The sequence below is a fragment of the Homo sapiens genome, chromosome 20 (assembly GCF_000001405.40).
Source record: "Homo sapiens chromosome 20, GRCh38.p14 Primary Assembly".
Taxonomy (NCBI): domain Eukaryota; kingdom Metazoa; phylum Chordata; class Mammalia; order Primates; family Hominidae; genus Homo; species Homo sapiens.
Window position 1 is genome coordinate 62,746,589 of NC_000020.11, and position 19,479 is coordinate 62,766,067.

The 19,479-nt window shown below is 55.8% G+C and overlaps 1 protein-coding gene across 1 annotated transcript in view, besides 1 other annotated feature; it reads left to right on the forward strand.

The window, feature by feature from the left end:
* Positions 1–16,183, forward strand: part of NTSR1 (neurotensin receptor 1) — a 53,936-nt gene extending 37,753 nt beyond the window's left edge. The window contains exons 2-4 of the mRNA NM_002531.3: positions 8,097–8,298; positions 11,678–11,768; positions 13,430–16,183. Coding sequence (NP_002522.2) covers positions 8,097–8,298; positions 11,678–11,768; positions 13,430–13,679 — 543 coding nt within the window. The 3' untranslated portion in view covers positions 13,680–16,183. The remainder of the gene's footprint in view (positions 1–8,096; positions 8,299–11,677; positions 11,769–13,429) is intronic.
* Positions 14,493–15,272: an enhancer, noted in NCBI's record as "H3K4me1 hESC enhancer chr20:61392433-61393212 (GRCh37/hg19 assembly coordinates)". NCBI's record gives its function as "activates a minimal SCP1, AML or CMV promoter by ChIP-STARR-seq in primed H9 embryonic stem cells {active_cell/tissue: H9 hESC(primed)}" and the evidence as "EXISTENCE:reporter gene assay evidence [ECO:0000049][PMID:30033119]".
* Positions 16,184–19,479: the final 3,296 nt, after the last annotated feature.

The following is a 19,479-nucleotide window of genomic DNA, read 5'->3' on the forward strand; positions in this document are numbered from 1 at the left end:
CTTTACAAGATGCCACAGAAATCAAAAGGATCATAATAAACTGTGAACAATTTTATACAAACCAGCTGGACAGCCTGGAAAAAATGGATACATTCCTAGAAACTCACAAGCTTCCTAGAGTCAATCGCGAGAAATGGAAAATCTGAAAGGACCAATAACAAAGAAGGAGATTGAATCAGTTACCAAAAACCTCCCAAAAAAGAAAACCCCAGGGCAGGGCCAGGTTGCTTCGCCGATGGATGCTACAAACATTTAAAGAAGAATTAACACCAGTCCTTATACAATTCCGAAAATGTGAAGAGGAAGGAACACTTTCTAACTCATCTTACAAGGTCAGCATTACCCTGATACCAAAGCCAGAGAAGGACGCTATGAGAAAAGAACCAAGAGGCAAAAATCTTCAACAAAATACTGGCAAACTTCATTCAACAGCATGTTGAAAGGCTCATCCACCATGAGCAGGTGGGATTTATCCCTGGGATGGAAACACAGTTCAGCACATATGAATCAGTAAATGTGATCCACCACATGAACAGAAGGAAGGACAAGAGCCATTTGATCATCTCATTTGATACAGAAAAAGCATTTGACAAAACTCAGCATCCTTTCATGATAAAAACACTCAACAAACTGGGTGTTGAATGCATGCTACACAATAAAGGCCACGTATGACAGACCCACAGCTAACACCACACTCAGTGTAAAGGCCACGTATGACAGACCCACAGCTAACACCACACTCAGTGTAAAGGCCACGTATGACAGACCCACAGCTAACACCACACTCAGTGTAAAGGCCACGTATGACAGACCCACAGCTAACACCACACTCAGTGTAAAGGCCACGTATGATGACAGACCCACAGCTAACACCACACTCAGTGTAAAGGCCACGTATGACAGTCCCACAGCTAACACCACACTCAGTGTAAAGGCCACGTATGACAGACCCACAGCTAACACCACACTCAGTGATAAGAAGTAGAAAGCTTTTTCTCTAAGGTCAGGCAAAGCAAGGATGCACTACTCAACATGGTCCTGGAAGGCCTAGCCAGAGCCATTAAGCAAGATAAAGCAGTAAAAGGCATTCACATCAGAAAGGAAGAAGTAAAATTGTCTCTGCAGATGACATGAACTTATGTATAGAAAACCCTAAAGACTCCACAAAAACAAAAACAAAAACAAAAAAAAACTGTTAGCACTAATAAACACATTCAATAAAGTTGCAGGACACAAAATTGGCATATGAAAATAAGTTGTGTTTCTATACACTAGCAATGAATTATCCCAAAAAGAAATCAAGAGGGCCAGGCGCAGTGGCTGACACCTGTAATCCCAGCAGTTTGGGAGCCCGAGGCGGGTGGATCACCTGAGGTCAGGGGTTTGAAACCAGCCTGGCCAACATGGCAAAGCCCAGTATCTACTAAAAATACAAAATTAGCTGGGCGTGGTGGTGTGTGCCTATAATCCCAGCTACTTGGGAGGCTGAGGCAGGAGAATTGCTTGAACCTGAGAGGCGGAGGTTGCAGTGAGCCAAAATTGTGCCATTGCACTCCAGCCTGGGCAACAAGAATGAGAATCTGTCTCAAAAAAAAAAAAAAAAAAAATCCCATTTACAATAGCATCAAAAAGAGTAAATTTAATCAAGGAAGTAAAAGACCTGTACACTGAATATAACATGATGAAAGAAATTGCACAAATAAATGGAAAGATACCTCATGTTCATGCATTGCAAGAATTCATATTGTTAAAATTTTCATACTACCCAAAGTGATCTACAGATTCAGTGCAATCCCTATCAAAATTTCAATGACATTTTACACAGAAATAGAAAAAAAAATCCTAGGATTCATAGTGAACCACAACAGACCTCAAATAGTCAAAGCAACATTAAGAAAGAGGAACAAAACTGGAGGCATCACACTTCCTAATTTCCTTTTATATTACAAAGCTATAGTAATCAAAACAGCATGGTACTAGTACCACATAGACCCACGGAACAGAACAGAGAGCCCAGCAATAAACCCACTTTCGTACAGTCAAATCATCTTTGACAAGGTGCTATGGTTTGAATGTCCCCTCCAAATCTTATTAAAACTTCATCCCCAGTGTGGCAGGATTGAGAGGTAGAGCCTTTCAGAGGTGATGGGATCTGTGAGGACTGGACCCTCATGAATGGATTAATCCATTCATAAATAAATGAGTTATAGGATTAAGGGGCAATCACACAAGGGGAGCTGGTGGCTTTATAAGAAGAGAAAGAGAGACCTGAGCTAGCATGCTCTGCCCCCTCTGCACGCGATGCCCCATGCCACGGCGGAACTTTTCCGAGAGTCCCCCCAGCAAGAAGGCTTTCACCAGTCGCATCCCCTGGGCCTTGGACTTCCCAGCCTCCATAACCATGATAAATACCTGACTTTTCTTTGTAAATTACCCAGTTTCAGGTCTTCTGTCATAAGCAACATAAAATGGACTTAGACACAAGGGCACCAATACACAATGGGGAAAAAGCAGTCTCCTCAAACAGTGATGGGAAAACTGGATATCCCCATGCAAGAGAATGAAATTGTAGGCCGGGCGCGGTGGCTCACGCCTATAATCCCAGCACTTTGGGAGGCCGAGGTGGGCGGATCACGAGGTCAGGAGATCGAGACCATCCTGGCTAACACGGTGAAACCCCGTCTCTACTAAAAATACAAAAAATTAGCCGGGTGTGGTGGCGGGCGCCTGTAGTCCCAGCTACTCGAGAGCCTGAAATTGTACCCTTATCTCACACCATGCAAAAAAAAATCAGCTTAAAGTGGATTAAAGATCTAAACATAAAACCTGAAACTATAACACTGCTAGGAGAAAACATAGAAGAAAAGCTTCTTGACATTGGTCTTGGCAGTGATTTTTTTATGACAGCAAAAACACAGGCAACAAAAGCAACATAAATGAGACTACATTAAAATGAAAAGTCTCTGCACAGCAAAAGAAACAGCAAAACGAAAAGGCAGTCTCTACAAAATGGGAGAAAAATAACCCATTTAAAAATGGAAAAGGGGCCTGAGTAGACATTTTTCCAAAGAAGAGCTACATATGGCCAATGGGTTTCTGAAAAGGTGCTCAACACCACTAGTCATCAGGAAACTGCAAATCAAAACCACAGTGAGCTATCACTGTACACCTGTTAGGATGGCGATCATCAAAAAGCCGGCAGATAACTCGTGGTGGGGACAATGTGGCGAAAAGGGGGCCCCGGTGCACTGTTGGTGGGAATGTATTAAATGGGTACGGCTGTTACGGAAAACAGGATGGGGGCTCCTCAAAAAAAGTAAAGGCAGAACCACCGTAGGATCCAGCAATCCCACTTCTGGGTATTTATGCAAAGGAAGCGGAATCCGGATCTTGAAAAGATCCCTGCAAGCCCCTGTCCGCTGCGGCACTGTTCACAATCGCCAAGACACGGAATCAACCCAGGTGTCCCTCAGCAGACCCGCGGATCGAGAGAGCGTGGTGCAGATACACAGCAGAGTGCTGCTCCGTCTTGAAAAATAAGCAGATCTGGTCATTTGCGGTAGCCGCAACAAACCTGGGGGCATTATGCTAAGTGAAATAAGCCAGGCGCAGAAAGACAAATGCTGTGTGATCTCGCTTATGTGTGGAATCTGAAAAAGCCAAACTCGTGAAGACAGAGAGCAGAGCACTGAGTGCTGGGGGAGGGGAACGAGGAATGGGGAGAGGACGATCAAGGGCTGCAAAGTTTCAGTTATAAGGCGAGTACATTCCGGAGCTTTGAGGTATGGTGTGAGGACCAGAGTTAACAATACTGCATTGCGGCCGGGCGTGGTGGCTCACGCCTGTAATCCCAGCACTTTGGGAGGCCGAGGCGGGTGGATCACGAGGTCAGGAGATCGAGACCATCCTGGCTAACATGGTGAAACCCCATCTCTACTAAAAATACAAAAAAATTAGCTGGGCATGGTGGCGGGCGCCTGTAGTCCCAGCTACTCCAGAGGCTGAGGCAGGAGAATGGCGTGAACCCGGGAGGCGGAGATTGCAGTGAGCCGAGATCATGCCACTGCACTCCAGCCTGGGCGACAGAGCGAGACTCCGTCTCAAAAAAAAAAAAAAAAAAAAAACAATACTGCATTGCACACTCAAAATGTCCTCAGAGAATAAATCTTGTGTTCCCACCATAATCAACGGGGGTAACTGTGAGGTGACGGATGTTTCATTAGCTCGATGGCGGTGATCATTTCACAATGTATACATAGATGACAACATCACATTGTACACAGTCAATAGATACAAATATTTTTGCGATGGGCGTCTCACTCTGTTGCCCAGGCTGGAGTGCAGTGGCGAAGTCATAGCTCACTGTAGCCTCAAACTCCTGGGCTCAAACAATCCTCCCATCTCAGCCTCCCAAGTAGCTGGCACTATAGGCGTATGCCAGCATGCCTGGATGATTTTTTTTAGTTTTTGTAGAGATGGGGTCTCACTGTGTTGCCCAGACTGGTCTCAAACTCCTGGCCTCAAGGGATCTTCCTGCCTCAGTCTCCCAAAATACTGTGATTACAGGAATGAGCCACGGTACCTGGCCAATAGATACAATTTTTATTTGTCAATTATCCCTCAATAAAGCTGGGGGAAAAGGTTAAAAATATATACATTTAAATTTAAAACTTCCATGATTTCTTATAGTAATGTTACGGTTTTTGGTTTTAGGTTTTAATCTTCTTACCATGTGGAATTTTTTTGGGGTAAGATCTCTATGAGTTAGGGTACTAACTCCAGGAACTAAGTCAAATTGTCTTATCCCTTAAGAAAAGGAATATTTATTTCACTCAAGACACACTGAAAGTCCAAGAATAATAGCTGCAGGCGCAGCTTGACCCAGGAGCACAAACAATGTCATGGGGTGCCCCGCTTCACCGGTGCTGGCTTTATTCTTAGGCAGGTCTTCTCTAAAAGGTAGGAAAACGGCACTGACGGCCACGGATGCATTTCCTGCTCAGTGAGCCCAGGCAAAGCTGGTGTCTAGCAAAGGTTTGGGGCTGGCCCTCATCAGACAAATGTGACTGATGCAAATGTTTGGCTGACCTGTCCAATGAGGGCCTACCCAGGCCTTTTGGGATGTGTTGATTGGCCAGGTCTGGGCCACATGCCAGTGGGATGGAGGGTGCACGGCTCCCCAGGGGAAGGAGGCGGGTGGGACAGGGGCCCTGAGGACCCAGCTTCCTGTGGTCCAGGCCGTCAGCTGTCCAGCGCCATGCCTGGGTGGCCAGTCTTCTCCCCGATGATCTGGATGCTGTCTCCATCACAGATGGAGCTTCTGTCTGATCTGGCACTGTCGATGCCAAATTCTCCTCATTAAGGTCACTCTCAGTGACACTCAGGTACATCCCAGTGGCTGGCAAGGCTGACGCTCCCTTGTCCTAGCGACCTGCCTTTCAAGAGCCTTTCTGGCCATTCTGAGACTATTTCCCACTTGAACTGTAGAGTCCATGTGTCTATGCACAACAGCTCTCGTGTTTTATAGGGACTGGATGCACAGACGTGATCTCAACGGGTCCTTCTGTCCAGGAAGGGGCCTGTCCTTCCCCTCGCTCAGTCCTCCCCTCACCTCCCCTCACCCCCAGCAGCATCGCAGGCTTTCCTCCGAGTCCCCGCGCTGCCGATGGACGTGCTCCCTTTGCTTGTTGTGGAGGTGGGGGGCAGCTCCTTACCCAGAGCGGGAGAGATTACAGGAAAGGACGGCGCAAGCCAAAGCCCCTGCTTCCAGCTGTGCGTCTGGGAAGAGAAGGCCGGCCCCAGGAGTCGGGGTGCATTCCCCTCACCCCCCAATCCTACTCGGCTTCAGTCTCCAGGGTGGGCAGGTGGGGGAGGCGGGGGAGGGCCAGACTTCCTCTGCAAGGCCCCGCCTCTGTCCCCACACGTGGCCCTGCGGCAGACTCTGTTCCCTCCCTCTGGAAACGGCAGGATCCTCCAACGGGGGCAGCCAGGGGGCCGGGGCCAGACCCTACAACCCACCAGCCCCCAGAGGTAGCTATTTTTGCAGCCAGCCGTGTTGGTGAGGTTGGTATTTTAAATGTTTTGACATTTAAAATCTGTGTTGGATACATTGGTGCTGTTTAAACTATCCCCGGGCTGCGGTGACTCACAGGGAATGGGTTTATCTCCTGAGGCTGGGCCTGGCCTCCCCTGTCCCCGCTCCCAGCAGCCGGAGTGGGAAGAGGGAGTTTTTACCTGCCCCCAGTCTCACCAGCACCTTGTTGTCCTGCAGAAGGTGGACTTCGGCCAGAGCAGGAGAACAGGAGGGACGCGGGACGGCCTCAGATCCGGACGCCCAAGCAGGGGAGGGCAGAACAGACCCGCCACCCAGCCAGGGTCAGCAGCGGTGGTGGTGGCTCTCAGGAGCCCACACAGGTGGCACGAGCAAGGGGCGCTGGGCTGGCAGGTGCAGGATGCTGCCTCCCGGGGGTTTGAGTGCCCCCTCTCCATGCATGTCCTCTGATCTGTTAGCAGAACTCTGCTCAAATGGAATGTGAGGGTAAACTCAGGCCGCCTCCTTCCTGAAGGCCTCTGAGTGCTTCTGAGTGGAGCCGGGAGCTTCGATGGGAGCAGGAAGGACCTCCAGAGGTGCCTCAGCCGGTGCCCAGAGGGGGCCAGGGAGAAAACCTGCCGACATTCCCACGACCCCAGCACCTCTCAGTGGCTGCCCTGTCCCATGGCCACCGCCGCCTTCATTAGCGAGACACGGCGAGGATTGTCCTCACCGGGACCATCCTGACTTGGACTGTTGAGGCCATGTGGCTCTGCCCTCCCTTGTGGCAGGAGGTTGGGAGGGAGGTGGCCCCTGCAGCCCAGCCCAGGGAATCCCACGGCAGATACCCCTGGACTTTCTACCGCAATCACAGCCACCAGCCACAGAGCTAGTACAGGCCGCTTCTCCAAGACACCCAAAAGCTTCTTGGAATCAGAAATTCAGCATGAGGATCCCGGGCAGCTTGGCAGAGAGGGGGCAGCCTCCGTCCCCGGCACAGGATCGAACCCGCAAGTGTGGCAGCCAAAGACGCCAAGATCTGGCTTGCAGAGAAGAGCATCTTACAAAGAACCGAAGGCCAAGGAAGATTTTAAAGCCATTGATGGCTGTTATTCCACTGCCCCAGGGAGGGGTGCCGGTTTCTCCATTGGAAGCCGGGCCATGGCCGTCCTGGCTGGTTCTGCTGCTGCCAGTCCGCAGACATGTCCCCTTCCTGTTCTGAGCAGCAGCTCTGGTTGAGGAGGAGGCTAGGCCACTGCCCATCTGGGGAAGTCACAGCCACCCTGCCAGTGCCTACAGAGTCACGTCTCAGCCAGGAGTCGCAGAAGGAGCGGGACTCAGCTCAGGCCAGGCTCAAATCCAGGCACAGCCCCCCTTGCGCTGGAGTCTTTGGGCAGGACCTCTACCCTGTCCAGGACTCGGATCAGGTGCAGGGTAGCTATGATGACCCAGCCTTGTGGGTTGATGTGGAAGCTAGAGGTGGGGAGTGGGGGCTCCAGGTGCTGATAACAGGGGCCCTATACCTTTCAATGCTCTGAGAGGTAGCTGGGGTGGGAGGGAGGAAGGGGCCTCTATTAGTGTGAGCTGTCAGGACCTAGGAGAACTGTCTGCACACAGCTACAAGGCCAGGGCTTGACTCTCCCACAGGACGGGCCTTGGGGTGGGGCAGCCACGTGCTTGTGGGCCTCAGCCATGCACACAACATGTCCAGACCTGGGAACCTAGAGCCTAGGGCCTTTGCCACAGCTGGGACACCCCAGTGGTTGTGTTCCTTGCTGTGTACAGGCGGGACCCTCGGGAGGGACTCATGAAAGTAGGGGAGTCTGCAAACTTCTTCCCAGTCAGAGGCAGGGTCGGGGGCAGGCTGAGGGCCAGCTTACAACAGCAGCCAGGGGTGGCCATGTCTTCCGGGCAGCCGGGATAGGGCCGGACCTCCTGAACTTGTGTTGACTGAGCACCTCACACTGAGCAGGCCTGACACCCCAATCAGCACGGCAGGCATCCCAGCTGAGGGTGCATGAGTCCCGCTGCTGGCTCTGACAGCCTCGCCCTTCCTCTCCTGCAGGTCAACACCTTCATGTCCTTCATATTCCCCATGGTGGTCATCTCGGTCCTGAACACCATCATCGCCAACAAGCTGACCGTCATGGTACGCCAGGCGGCCGAGCAGGGCCAAGTGTGCACGGTCGGGGGCGAGCACAGCACATTCAGCATGGCCATCGAGCCTGGCAGGGTCCAGGCCCTGCGGCACGGCGTGCGCGTCCTACGTACGTAACCTCTGGGCCCTCCAGGGGCGGGAGGCAGGCCAGGGCTAGCAAAGGCAGCGAGCGCTGAACCACCCCAAGCCTGGGCAAGGTTTAAAGACATAGGGATGGAGCTGTCAGGCCAAGACCCAAGGGTGCCAGCTCCCCCGAGGGGTGAGTGCCATTCTGCACTCCATCCCTCCCTCCATCCTTCCATCTATCCTTCCCTCCCTCCATCCATCCATCCTTCCCTCCCTCCCTCCATCCATCCTTCCTTCCCTCCATCCATCCATCCCTTCCTCCTTCTATCCCTCCACCCCTCCCTCCTCCCTTCATCCCTCCCTCCATCCATCCATCCTTCTCTCCCTCCTTCCCTCCATTCACTCCTCTACCTCTCCCTCCATCCATCCCTCTCTCCCTCCTTCCCTCCATTCATTCCTCTACCTCTCCCTCCCTTCCTTCCTCCCTCCCTCCATCCATCCATCCCTCTCTCCCTTCCTCCCTTCATCCCTCCATCCACCCTCCCTCCCTCCATCCATCATTCCATCCATCATCCCTCCATCCATCCCTCCATCCATCCATCCATCCTCCCTCCATCCCTCCCTCCCTCCATCCATCCTCCCTCCCTCCATCCCTCCCTCCATCCATCCTCCCTCCGTCCATCACTCCCTCCCTCCATGCATTCTCCCTCCCTCCGTCCATCCCTCCCTCCATCCATCCTCCCTCCCTCCATCATCCCTCCCTCCCTCCATCCCTCATTCCATCCCTCCCTCCCTCCCTCCATCCCTGCCTTCATCCATCCTCCCTCCCTCCATCCATCCTCCCTCCCTCCATCATCCCTCTCTCCCTCCATCCCTCATTCCATCCCTCCCTCCCTCCCTCCCTCCAGCCATCCTCCCTCCCTCCAGCCATCATCTCTCCCTCCCTCCCTCCATCCCTCCCTTCAGCCATCCTCCCTCCCTCCATCCATCCCTCCCTCCCTCCATCCATCCTCCCTCCCTCCACCCATCATCCCTCCCTCCCTCCATCCCTCATTCCATCCATCCATCCCTCCTTCCATCCCTCCTTCCCTCCCTTGTTCCATTCCTCCCTCCCTCCATCTATCCATCTCTCTGTCCATCTGTCCACTTGCTCACGTGCTCACTTATTCATTTGCTCAGCAGTTGGCTGAGTGCCCACCCTGGGTCTCGCCTATTCTTGCTCACAGGCATGGAGGCAGCAGAGGCAGGGGCATCCCTGCACTCTGGGGGAACAGGGGCTCCACCAAGGACACAAACACAGGCACCAGGCACCTTCAGCCAGTGATGAGCATGAAGAAAAAAATACCACCACCACCACCCCTGACTACATCTGGCAGCTGGGAGGGGCTCTCAGAGCAGGTGGCATCCTGCAAGTCCCAAGGACCAGGAGCCCATCTGGGCAACAGAGCTGCAGGCGAGGGGATGGCTGGAGCAAAGGCCCTGTGGTGGGAGGTGCTTGGCAAGAAGGCGGGGCAGGGGCAGGGCAGACGCTGCCAACAACACAGGGCTTGGAGAGTGTGATGGGAACTGGAGAGAATGAAGCCCTTTCATGCCTGAGACCCAGGTCTTCAGTTTGGTTTGCCTGAAGCATTTGGCTTGAGCTCCTCCCTGGTGCTGGCCCATTTTCAGGGCTTGTTTGAGGGTGTGGCCAGTCACAGGAGAGGCCCATAGCCAAGCACATTACCCTAAGAGAGCCTGGCTCTGGGCTCAGCCTTCCCTGCTCATGGGAACCAGCCAGGGCTTTGGACACGGAGCTCTCAGGGCTGGCGAAGCCCACAGCAGGGCAACGCCCATCCTATCGGAACCCTGAGGACCAGCCCCAGCTCAGGACGGCTGGCTTGCCAACATCCAAGGTGTGTCCTGGTCCCAGTGTGTGCCTGTTGTTTTAATAGTAGCCATCCTAATAGATTTGAGGTGGCATCTCGTTGTGGTTTTGATTTGCATTTCTCCAGTGATTTAAGATTAATGATTAATAACATCTTTCATGTGCTTGTTGACCATTTGTATCTTCTTTGGAGAAATGTCTGAGTCCTTTGCCCATTTGTGAATTGGATTGTTTGTTTTCATGTTGAGTTTTAGGAGTTATACTCTCAAGGTTAACTCATTATCAGATGTGATTTGCAAATATTTTCTCCTTTTTTGTGAGCTGACTTCCACTCTCCTGATGGCATCCTTTGATACACAGAAATTCAGTGTTTATGTTGTTCAATTTATCTACTTTTTTCTTTTGTGGCCTGTGCTTTTGGTGTCATACCCAAGAAATCATTGCCAAAATCAATGTTGTAAAGTAATTATGTTTTCTCCTAGGAGTTTTATGGTTTTAGTTCTTATGTTCAGGTCTTTAATCCACTTCAAGTCCATTTTTGTATATGGTGTGAGGGGAGGATCCACCTTCATACAAGTGGATGTCCCGTTTTCCTAACACCCTTTGTTGAATAGACTGTCCTTTCCCCACTGAATGGTCTTGGTGAAGATCACTTGACCATAAAGGTAAGGGTTCGTTTCTGAGATTTCTAGTCTATTCCCTTGGTCTACGTGTCTATCTTTATGCCAGCACCACACTGTAACTTTGTAGTAAGTTTTGAAATCAAGAAGTGTAAGACCTCCAACTTTATTTTCTTACAAGATTGTTTTGGCTGTCCGGGATCCTTTGAGATTTCATATGAATTTTAGCACAGATTTTTCTATTTCTGCCAAAAGCATTCTTGAAATTTGATACGGATTGCATTGAATCTGTAGAGTGCTTTGGGTAGTACTGACACCTTAACAATATTAAATCTTCCAATCCATGAACATGGGATGTCTCCCTGCATCTCCCTCAGACCACGTGTCTCCTTCTCTGAGGCCATATCTCTGTGTCTCTAAGCCCATGTCTCTGAGCCAGTGTCTACCTCCCTCAGCCCATGTCTCTCCCTCTCTGAGCCTGTGTCCTGTCTCTGAGCCTGTGTCCTGTCTCTGAGCTTATGCTCCCTCCCCAAGCCCACGTCTCTCCCTCTCTGAGCTTGTGTCTGGTCTCTGAGCCCATGTCTCCCCCACTGAGCCCACGCCTCTGTGCCTCAGGTGCAGTGGGTCTCTGAGCCCACGCCTCTGTGCCTCAGGTGCAGTGGGTCTCTGAGCCCACGTCTCTGTGCCTCAGGTGCAGTGGGTCTCTGAGCCCATGTCCTGTCTCTGAGCCCACGTCTCTGTGCCTCAGGTGCAGTGGGTCTCTGAGCCCATGTCTCTGTGCCTCAGGTGCAGTGGGTCTCTGAGCCCACGTCTCTGTGCCTCAGGTGCAGTGGGTCTCTGAGCCCACATCTGTGTGCCTCAGGTGCAGTGGGTCTCTGAGCCCACGCCTCTGTGCCTCAGGTGCAGTGGGTCTCTGAGCCCACGTCTCTGTGCCTCAGGTGCAGTGGTCATCGCCTTTGTGGTCTGCTGGCTGCCCTACCACGTGCGGCGCCTCATGTTCTGCTACATCTCGGATGAGCAGTGGACTCCGTGAGTACCGGGAACCAGGAAGTTGGGTGCTGGACAAGTAAGTGCTCCCAAAACAGATGGTGGGTGTGGCAGGCACTGCTGAGGGGATCCACTCAGGGCAGGGGTGTGGTGAGTCCCCCGGCGACCCCCTGGGCAGGGTTGTGCTGTGACTGGGGCCGGGAGAAGGCCATGGAGGGACAGGTTCAAGGCAGGGGCTATTCAGGCCAGACTGGTGCAGAGAAAGAAAGTTGGTCCTAAGAGAGATGGCCCAGGCAGTTTCCCGAAGGTGAAAGAGAGACATCCCTGGCTCTGCTGGGGACATGGTGGGGGTGTCACCTCCTCATATGGCAGCTGTCAGAGCCCCAAGGCCACCCAGGTTGGACCCACAGGGCTCAGCCTGGAGTTATACTCAGGGCTGTGACTTATCGCAGCAAGAGCACCAATACTGACAAAGCTTTGCTTATACAGCAAAGTCAGCAAAGGGAAAAGACACATGGAGTGGGGTCAGCGGAAGACCAGATGCAGCTTCCAGGGCCCCCTCCCAGAGGAGCCTCACAGGACGATATGGGGGCCGATCACAGGGGCACCCACTGCCTGGCAAAACCCCTACTGTTTGCACCAACAGTTCAGGGGCAGGGAGCCCTTCTCACCCAAAAATGGCAGAGCCTTCCCAAAATCCAAGGCCCCAGGCACCAGCCAGAGGCCAGCCTTGCCAGCTGGCCATCCTGAGATGGCAGCTTGGGGCCCACTTGTGAACCCTTTTCTGTGCAGTGGGGCTGCCAGATCCCAGAATAAAAGGTTCCTTCCAGTGACAACCACCAGGGAGGGCGCACCTACGACCAATGAGGAGGAGAAGGCACGGGGAACAGAGTGTGGCCCCTGCAAAAGCTTCTGAAACTCAGGGCTGACTGGTAGTAATTGAGCTGCCTGGTGAGGGAGTGAGATCACTGTGGGGGGAGGCAACAAGCTGAGGGCAAGGTGTGTGGCTGCTGGGGAGGTGTGGAGGGGGTTACTGCCCTGGCTGTTTGGTTAGGCCGGGACCAGCCAAGCCCTGGACCCTTGGATGCACAGAGCTGCGAAGGGCAATGCAGGCAGCTGCAAGGAGAGGCAGGGATGGACAAGCAGAGCCCACGCTCCACCTAAAGAAGCCCAGGCTGGGTGGGACACGGTGGCTCACGCCTGTAATCCCAGCACTTTGGGAGGCTGAGGTGGGTGGATCACGAGGTCAGGAGATCGAGACCATCCTGGCTAACACGGTGAAACCCCGTCTCTACCAAAAATACAAAAAATTAGCCGGGCGTGGTGGGGGGGTCCCTGTAGTCCCAGCTACTCGGGAGGCTGAGGCAGGAGAATGGTGTGAACCCGGGAGGTGGAGCTTGCAGTGAGCCGAGATCGCGCCACTGTACTCCAGCCTGGGAGACAGAGCGAGACTCCGTCTCAAAAAAAAAAAAAAAGCAGCAGCAGCCCAGGCTGGGCGGGAGCACGACGAGAACTTGCAGCTGCTCAGGAGAAGCCAGACCCTGGAGCTTGTTATGAAATGTCCCCAAACAACCATTCTCAAGGGGTGTTTTAATTAGCGTCTGAGCCACCACGTCCCTCAGCCGCTGTGGCCCCGGCTGTCACCCTGCCTTGGGGCCCTCAAGAGTTCTCTCTGGGATCTGAGCGCCTCTCTCTCCCCGCAGGTTCCTCTATGACTTCTACCACTACTTCTACATGGTGACCAACGCACTCTTCTACGTCAGCTCCACCATCAACCCCATCCTGTACAACCTCGTCTCTGCCAACTTCCGCCACATCTTCCTGGCCACACTGGCCTGCCTCTGCCCGGTGTGGCGGCGCAGGAGGAAGAGGCCAGCCTTCTCGAGGAAGGCCGACAGCGTGTCCAGCAACCACACCCTCTCCAGCAATGCCACCCGCGAGACGCTGTACTAGGCTGTGCGCCCCGGAACGTGTCCAGGAGGAGCCTGGCCATGGGTCCTTGCCCCCGACAGACAGAGCAGCCCCCACCCGGGAGCCTTGATGGGGGTCAGGCAGAGGCCAGCCTGCACTGGAGTCTGAGGCCTGGGACCCCCCCCTCCCACCCCCTAACCCATGTTTCTCATTAGTGTCTCCCGGGCCTGTCCCCAACTCCTCCCCACCCCTCCCCCATCTCCTCTTTGAAAGCCAGAACAAGAGAGCGCTCCTCTCCCAGATAGGAAAAGGGCCTCTAACAAGGAGAAATTAGTGTGCGGCAAAAGGCAGTTTTCTTTGTTCTCAGACTAATGGATGGTTCCAGAGAAGGAAATGAAAGGTGCTGGGTGGGGCCGGGCCTCCGGCGGCCCGGCTGCTGTTCCCATGTCCACATCTCTGAGGCCTGCACCCCCTCTGTCTAGCTCGGGGAGTCCAGCCCCAGTCCCGCAGGCTCCGTGGCTTTGGGCCTCACGTGCAGACCCTGCCATGCAGACCCATGCCCCCCTCCCCCAGGCAGCTCCAAGAAAGCTCCCTGACTCGCCCCTTCAGGCCTGGCAAGCTGGGGGCCCATCGCCGTGGGGAGTCCCTCCCACCACCCTCGCCGCAGGCAGCTGCAGCCCCCAGAGGGGACCACAAGCCCAAAAAGGACAAAAATGGGCTGGCCTGGAATGGCCCAGACCCCAGCCTCCCCTCCTCCCTCCCATCCTCACCCAGGCCAAGGCCCAGGGGCTCTGCCAGGACACCACATGGGAGGGGGCTCAGGCCTCAGCCTCAAGATCTTCAGCTGTGGCCTCTCGGGCTCGGCAGAAGGGACGCCGGATCAGGGGCCTGGTCTCCAGCACCTGCCCGAGTGGCCGTGGCCAGGATGGGGTGCGCATTCCGTGTGCTTTGCTTGTGGCTGTGCAGGCTGAGGTCTGGAGCCAGGCCCAGAGCTGGCTTCAGGGTGGGGCCTTGAGAAGGGGAATGTGGGACAGGGGCGATGGTGCCTGGTCTCTGAGTAAGATGCCAGGTCCCAGGAACTCAGGCTTCAGGTGAGAAGGAGCGGTGTGTCCAGGCACCGCTGGCCGGCAGCCCTGGGCTGAGGCACAGACTCATTTGTCACCTTCTGGCGGCGGCAGCCCTGGCCCCGGCCTCCAAGCAGTTGAAAAAGCTGGCGCCTCCTTGGTCTCTAGGATCCAGGCTCCACAGAGCACATGACTAGCCAGGCCCCTGGCTTAAGAAGGTCGCCTAAGCCTAAGAGAAGACAGTCCCAGGAGAAGCTGGCCGGGACCAGCCAGGAGCTGGGAGCCACAGGAAGCAAAAGTCAGCCTTTTCTTCAAGGGATTTCCCTGTCTCAGAGCAGCCTTTGCCCCAGGGAAATGGGCTCTGGGCTGGCTGCCTGCACCGGCCATGTCGACCCAGGACCCGGACACCTGGTCTTGGGCTGTGTTCAGCCACTTTGCCTTCTCTGGACTCAGTTTCCCCGTCTGAGAAATGAGAGTCGAATGCTACAGTATCTGCAGTCGCTTGGATCTGGCTGTTGAGTTGACGGGTTCCTTGAACCCCACAAAATCCCTCTCCAACCACAGGACCCTTCGGCTCACCAAGAACAGGGCCCAGGGGAGTCAGGCCTATTCGCTGCACTTCCTGCCAAACTTTGCCCCCACAAGCCTGGTCATCAGCCAGGCAGCCCTCCCAGTGCCCAAGGGCCACCAACCCCAGGGAAACAGGGCCAGCACAGAGGGGCCTTCCTCCCCCACAGAGCCCCCATGACATAGTCTGCTCTGGGCGGAAGAGCTTTGCTGCCAGCCAGGGATGTCCAGAGGTCAGTGCAGCCCCTACCCCTGCTCAGGAGTGGGCTCAGAGTCTAGCAAATGCTAAGGCCCCTCAGGCTGGGCTCTGAACGAGGACCTGGACTCAGAGCCAGACAGGGCAGCCTCAGACCCTTCTCTGGGGCTCCTGGACCTTGGGCCATAATTTCTGAGCCTCGGTTTCCCCATCTAAGGAACAGATGTGGTCGTTCCGCCCTCTCAGCTGGATGAGACTGTCCTGGAGGATCCACCCCGGAACAGACAGAATGGTGTCTCTCAGGATGGTGCTCTGAGAGAGGGCAGAGTGGATGCCCCACTGCCCTAGACCCTCGGTAGACGTGGGGTCTCTGGGGCGGGGTCTGTGGCTGTGACTGAAGTCGGCTTTTCCCGTTGATGTCTTGATGCTCCTATCTGTGCACTTACCGTAGGTAGGGACACGTGTCCACGCACCACAGACACACCCACGACACCTGATCTCGTATCACTAGCTTGCGGCCAGGTCATGATGTGGCCCCGGAAGCTGGCCCTGCGTGCCATGAGTGCGTCGGTCATGGAGTCCGGAGCCCCTGAGCCGGCCCCTGGTGACGGCACAGCCCTCACAGCTCAAACGCCCACCCCCACTCCCACCATCTGCAGGTGGTGAAAACAAACCCCGTGTATCTCTCAATAAAGGTGGCCGAAGGGCCTCGATGTGGACTTGAGTGTTGAGGGCCTGCATGTGCCCACCCACCCACTCATTCATTCACTCCTTCATTCAGACACGCACCGACGCAGCAGCCAGCCTGCACTGGGCCTCTTACCAAAGTCTACAGGGCTCTGGTCCCAGAAGCTGGCGGGTGGGGGGCGCCGGGATCCCTCTGCTCACAGCCCACCCACCCTCCCTAGTGCTTCAAGGAGCAGTGGGCCCCCTGCAGGGCCTAGTGACCACCGAGGGGCCTGTGTGGGCAAAAGTCCTCACCGTCTCCTGAGCTTCAGTCTCCTGATCTGTGAGCTGAACACAGAGGACGCTCAGTGAAGCGGGGAGCCCGGGGTCCCATGACCGCTCAGCTCAGATCTCCATGGCCCCCTCTAGCCAGCCCAGGGGTCCTGTGGTTGTGGGGGAGGGGGCCATGGCCCCATCGAGGCCTTAGCAGTGGACAGATAGGCCCGGGTGCAGTACTGAGCCTCTGGCCTGGGCCCAGCCCCGTGCAGGCTACTGAGGAGACAGAAGATGCAGCTGAACCCTCACCCCCAGGGCTTCTGCTCTGAAAATGAGGGTTCCCAGGCACCTCCCAGACCCACCGTTTCCAATTCTCCCCCGCCAAGGCCCGGGTCATTCTCCATCCCTGGTTGGGCGGCTCTGGCTCTCTGCTGTGCTCCTTTTTAGGGCACCAAAAGCTTTTCTCCGGCTTGCCTGAGCCTGAGCCACAAGAGGCCGGTGACAGCAGAGTCTGCAGGGTGGTGCCCTGGGGTCTTTCTCATAAGCCTCCTGGGCCTCAGGATTAGGAGTGCTGGGCTCACCCTGTGGAGCTCAGCAAAAGAAGCATTTGCTTGGGCTTGAACAGTCCAGGAAGGCTGCCTGGAGGAGGAGGCAGGTGGGCCAGTGGGAGGCAGAGCCTGAGCAAGGGAGAGTGCAGGAGTGAGGGGTCTCCCCAGGGACATGAGGGGCTCAGAGTGGCTGGAGAGGAGAAGGGCAGGTGCTAGGGGAGCAATAGGGGAGGGAGAAGGCGGGTTGAGAGCTTGAGGGATTTGAGCGCCCATGGAGGGGCTGAGTAGGGGCCTAGGGGGAGAGGGGAGGAGCCTTGGGGCCCTCGTGGTCAGGAGCCTGCCATGGTTCCTGGGTCCTGATGGCAGGGAGCACCCCTTCCTGAGGGGGTCCTCTTGGCCGTCCTCAGCAGCTCTGGCCCTGCCTCCACCTCCCTGCAGCACTTAGAGATTCTCTAAGTGTTGTTTTCCTGTGCCTGGGGGCTCAGGACTCCTTCCTTTGGGGGCAGCCAGGTGGCAGCAGGGCTGGGAGGGGTCTGGGTGAGGGTGGGGAGATAAACTATAACCCTGATCATCTAAAGGGATCTTGGCACACGCTGCCAGGCCCCTCCCTCCCAGCACCCAGCACTCACCTTCGCCTGCCCTCCCAAGCGGCGCTGCCCCAGATCCCCACCAGGCTCAGCCTGTCCTTATCTGTGCTAAAGCGTTAGTGGCCACAGCATCTCCTGGTAACAAAGATCCCCACACCTTAACCCAAAGGACAGCAGAAACACAGGACAACCCCACCCACCCTAAGGGCATGGTCCCCCACCTTCCCCTCCGAGCCGCACCTGCCCAGCTCAGAGGTGGGGATGGCTTGAGTGAGGACTCCTGGGCCCCTGATTCAGAAGAGGCTGCAGGGTCTCCGGGAAGACCCTCTCACCCAACAGCTGCTCTCTCTAGGAAGCCTTAAACCCCCGACAGAGGGAAGCCAGAGCCAGGAGGAGGCCGGATGGGGACGAGGAGAGCCTGCTGCCTCGGGGTCCCGCTTCCCCTCGGCTGTGCGTGGCCACAAGGTGGGCACAGGGAGAGGGCACCCACCATGTGGAGCCCTTGGGGGGCCTGTGTTGTGCACCCAGAGGCTGCGTGGCGAGCACTGGGTGAAGAGGGGATGCCAGCTCTTCCCCCGGCAGCACAGCACAGCCATGAGCGCACAGGTGGTGACGCACAGGGTCCTGGGCTGGACTCCAGCTCTGCCACTGTGAGCTGGGACGTGGGATAAGGTGGAAGTTAGCACTCAGGGCCCGGCCCGCAGGACCAAGGTTGGCCGCGTCAGGGGAGCTGGGAGGGAGGCGGAGGCTGCCTTCCTTGGCATCTGGCCTTGGCGGCCAGGCCAGTGTCCCTCCTGGCCCAGAGCGGTACCCGGGCCCTCGACTGCTGCCCTCCACGGGCTCCCTGCCTGAACCTGTCCACACCCCGATTCGTCCCCAGAGTTGGACACTCCGTGATGTTTAAGGTTAAGGAATTGGTGTCAATCATGAGCTTCATGCCTGGCTGCCCGGCTCCTTCTCTGCCCCGGCCTAGTCTGAGCCCCCTCCACCAACAGTGGAGCCTGGTGCCACCCGCTCCTGTCACTCTGGAGGTGGCCCAGGGTATAGCACTGCCTGCAACCAGGTCCCTGCTCTCCTCTCCACTCTAGAGCCTCTCTCCCCTTCAAGCCTCTCCCTGGTCTGAGGCTCCCTCCCCTCTGAGCCTCCCTCCGAGCCTCTCTTCCCTCTCCTCTCTTCTCCCTGCTCCTCCCTCTCCCTGCTTCCTCCCTGGAGCTGGGGGCTGTCTCTCTGACTGCATCTCTGGAGGAGGAGGAAGAGGATTGGGAGACAGGACTTTAAGCGCAGATTCTGCCAGGCATCACCTAGGAGCCCTGGCTGAACCCAGCTGTGTGTAGGGAGCCTCCGGCCGCCCTGGGGCTCAGCATCCTTAGGTCATTGTTCCCATTTGACTGGCCAAGGAAGCCAAGGCTCTGGTAATCTGCCAAGGACCCACAGCCTCCCTAAGCTTGAAGACCATGGTCCTATCAGCCCTCATGTGCTCCCGGTGACCCACCCTGCAGGCCCACAGGCCGAAGGCGAGCTCCACCTGTTTCACAGCTGGGGACGCCAGGGAGGGGGAGAGCTGCACGGAGCTGGTGTTGGTTCTGCCCTCGCCATTGTGGGACCTTCAGAAGACCCCACCTCCCAAGGACCGTGACCCCCTCCTGGGGAGGGCACGCCTCCCCAGGAGCTGCCAGGTGAGAAAAGCACCCAGCCTCCAGCACACCAAGACCCAGGAGCAGTGAGAGGGCAGAGCCAAGCTGCTGCCCCAGGGACTGGTAGGGACCACTGATGGCAGTGGCAGGAGGAAGCTCCAGGCTGCGGGGCTCAGAGAGGGATGAAGGACAGGGTACGGGTTGCTTTGCCCCCAAATCAGAGATGCTCACCCGGCAGGAGACCCTGCATGCCCAGGCTCTCCCACCTCAGCCTCAGACGCCGAGCTGTGTAGACACTGTCCAG